Source organism: Homo sapiens, chromosome 15, assembly GCF_000001405.40.
Source record: "Homo sapiens chromosome 15, GRCh38.p14 Primary Assembly".
NCBI classification, from domain to species: Eukaryota; Metazoa; Chordata; class Mammalia; order Primates; family Hominidae; genus Homo; species Homo sapiens.
In genome coordinates, this window is record NC_000015.10 from 46,770,425 (window position 1) to 46,774,022 (window position 3,598).

Below are 3,598 nucleotides of genomic sequence, written 5' to 3' on the forward strand. Positions count from 1 at the left end.
GTAATAGATATATTAGGTGAGAGGATATCCCAATTATCATAAAGCTAGTCCAACATGGCTTGCATAAGAAACATATTAACTGCTTCATCTGGGGTACTTCACTTGGTATTTTATAGGGAGAGTTGGGCAGTCCCCTTCTCAGGGCAAAACAGACCTTATAATGGCATTATCTGGCCCACTAGGCTGATTGCTTTCTCAGGAATAACCCCCTGTACATTTGGATTCCATATACTTAGTGTTTCTTCAGTAATAAGCTGCCGGTCCTGCATTGATTCAAACAAGCTCTTAAATTCTGTAGCATTTAAAATTAATAATTTTGTCCTTAAAGTGGTTATTTTTACAATCCACTAAAGATTTTTTTTAAAGAAACTGAATTATACCAATCTACAAAAATGGAACAATTCCTTTACATTACACCCTTTGGTTTTCAATAGTTACTTGGTTTTACCCTTTTCCCTGTTTTCTTGGTAACCATAGGGCTCAGAGTTTTGTTGCCCCATATAAAGATGGAGGTATATATATAAAGATAGAGGTATTATAGGCATGCAGAATAAAAGGCATGTTCAAAAGATACTTTATTTGCCTGTTTTCAAAACAATTTTTCTCCCTTAGATAAGTAGTAAAAGTTACAGGAGCCAAGGAAAGGTGAAAGAGAGAGCCATCATTTAAGGACTTTTCAAAAGAGAAAGAGTGGCACTTTTAAGATATCAATCTGAAGAATGTTAAAGAATGTTAAACAGCATTTAAAAATTTAAAAACTTCTTGCATTAAAAATAAGTCGATATCTGTAATACAATCTTGTTTTAACGAATTATTTAGTTTTGTAATAGTGCATTTTTTAATATTAAAGACCCATCTCTAGAAAGATTATTATGATTTCTTTTTGATTATAGCCAACTGAATTATACAACCCCTTTAAAAAATTTATCTTACTAACCTTATTATGACTTACATAGTTCATTCACAACATGTTTAGGCTGTTTTGTCTTAAATATCCCTCTTTCTTGTACAATCCCATCATTTTTATTTTAGGACAAAAATTTACCACACATTCTTATATAAAATTACTTTCCTTTTTTTTTTAAACCAAAAATACCTCCTTATACCTTGAACTTTCTTTACATCTCTTATTTCCTGATTCCTGTACCTTATTATATATATAACCCTTAAATAAGCCTTGAATTAGACAAAGATATTTTACCTCTAATAAGAACATTTAAAAAAAAGTTTTCCTGTAATTCTTAAATTGGAATTGCCCAGATACTTTATATCAATTAATAACATTAGATCCTAAATTATAATGAGTTTGTTTATAAGCATTTATTCCATTACATTTACCTGATTTAGTAGTTACCTAGATTATTTATTTAAAAAAACTGTGATAGCCAATATTTACACTTATTTTTCTATTAACCATTTTTATAGCTGTGAATTTTAGGTATTTATTTAAGTAATAAAACTTATGGTTAATTTTAAGGGTACTTATACCAATAACTCAGTATTTAGCTGTTTTCATTTAAGCCAGCAATATTTTATAAGCATATACAAGCACAGATTATTTTGTCTTGGGGTGGGTTTCATAGTTTATAACCCTTCTGGCAAATCTTATTGTATTTTGCAGGAATAAACATGGAACTACTTGCTTAATAAATGCAAACAAAATGCTAACAATTTTAAAGACATCGCTGATATTTTACCAATAATTTAAAGCCAGTTTATTTAGTAAAGATTTTACTTAAGTCACATGAACTTGAAAAAGCATTTGAGTGGTTTTCTTATCTGATTTAAGTGTTTTTTAAAAGCCAATTAGTTCAAGTTCTTTATATATTTTTACTAGTGAAAAGATTGTGTACACACACATAAATATATAGACGTATTAGGCATTGTGATAGAAGCACATGGCACATGTTCTTATAGACTTATAAAGACCTACTTTTTTTCCCCTGCATTTAAAAAAAAATCTTACCCCAGGCAGTTGTTAGCTAAATAGCCTTAAATTTGCATATTAAGGCAACTTCAGATGAAAATCAGATAGCAAAATTTACATCATAAGGTACAAAGAGAAAGTCTGGTGTGCTGGAGGGAAATTAAAATGGATTCAATTGCCAACTGAACATAAAATTATAGAAGTCTATCATAAAGGCCTTTAAATATATATACACACACACACACGCACACACGAAGTTCCCATAGCTATTACTTCAGTACTATAGCCATGAGACAAATACAACTTTGCCACCTTGCAAAAAACACTGTTAGATCCAAACGGTGGTTTTTATCTCAGTAGAAAAGTAACAGCAGATTAAAGCAGGCAGAAAAGAAAATAGAACCTAGGTACTCTATAGTTCACAGGTCGGCCTTAGGACTCTCTCCTTAATGTAAGCGTGCACAAAGACCATATTACTTCCATTTGATATAAACCCTAGCAAGTACGGGTGCCATAAAACCTACGGAGTGCTCGAAAGGAAGTCATTCTTGTTTTCTCCTTTTTTTTTCTTTTTTTGTTAAAAGGAGGAACTGAGCTATAGCCTAGGGTTTTTGTGTGGTGGATCGATATGCATGCTTCTTGTGGGCAGGACTCCACAGTGTGTCACCTCTTACATGTCTCAGTTTCTCTCCAGAGGTCCATGACCTCTCAGAGGGTTCAAAACGCTAGATGATTAGCCCTTATATGCGTTTCCTGGACGAGCCATTTTTAAAATTAATTTTGTTTTTTTTAGGGATTTCTCTGCAGGGCCACTGCATGTTGTGGGGGGTCAACCCCCCAGACACTCCCGCGAGGCCCCGGGTCACCCAAGGGCACCTTTCGGCTGCAAGGAGCAAATGTCCTTTCTCTTTGGAGCTGAAAAACTCAGTCTCTCATTTATCTATGAAAACAACAGTTCAGTTCCTCACGCAAATGTGCAGAGACAAACCAAATCAGGATACGTTTTAGGAGAAAAAGCAATATAGAATTCCCTTTAGAATGAATCTCCCAACTAGAATTGGGATCCTTAAAACAACAACTCCCTAAAAGAAAACCAGCTCAGAATAAATCAAGGACCCCCAAAGCAAAGGGAGGTCCAGGGCTCAGGAGGACTTATCAGTTCCACCAGAGGAGAAACTCGAACTCGGTAGGGCTTCAATGGGCCTCTTCTAGTATCTTAGCTCCAGTTTCAGGCAACTCCTTCCGGGTCCTGAGTCTTCTCTGAGGCCCCACGTGTTTGAGCGCCGGATTATTATCCATGAAAAGAGTCAAACTGTAAAATATTTTAAGAGATTTATTCTGAGCCAAATATGAATGACCATGGCCTGTGACTCAGCCCTCAGGAGGTCCTGAGAACATGTGACCCAGGTGGCTGGGGTATAGCTTGGTTTTCTATATTTTTAGGGAGGCATGAAACATCAATCAAATACATTTAAGAAATACATTGGTTTGGTTCAGAAAGGCGGGACAACTCAAAATTGGCGAGGGGAGGGGAGGCCTCCAGCCTATAGGTAAATTTAAATATTTTCCGGTTGACAATTGGTTGAGTTTATCTGCAGACCTAGGATCACTGGAAAGGAACTTTCTGGTTAAGATAAAGGATTGTAGAGACCAAGTTTTATTATGCAGAGG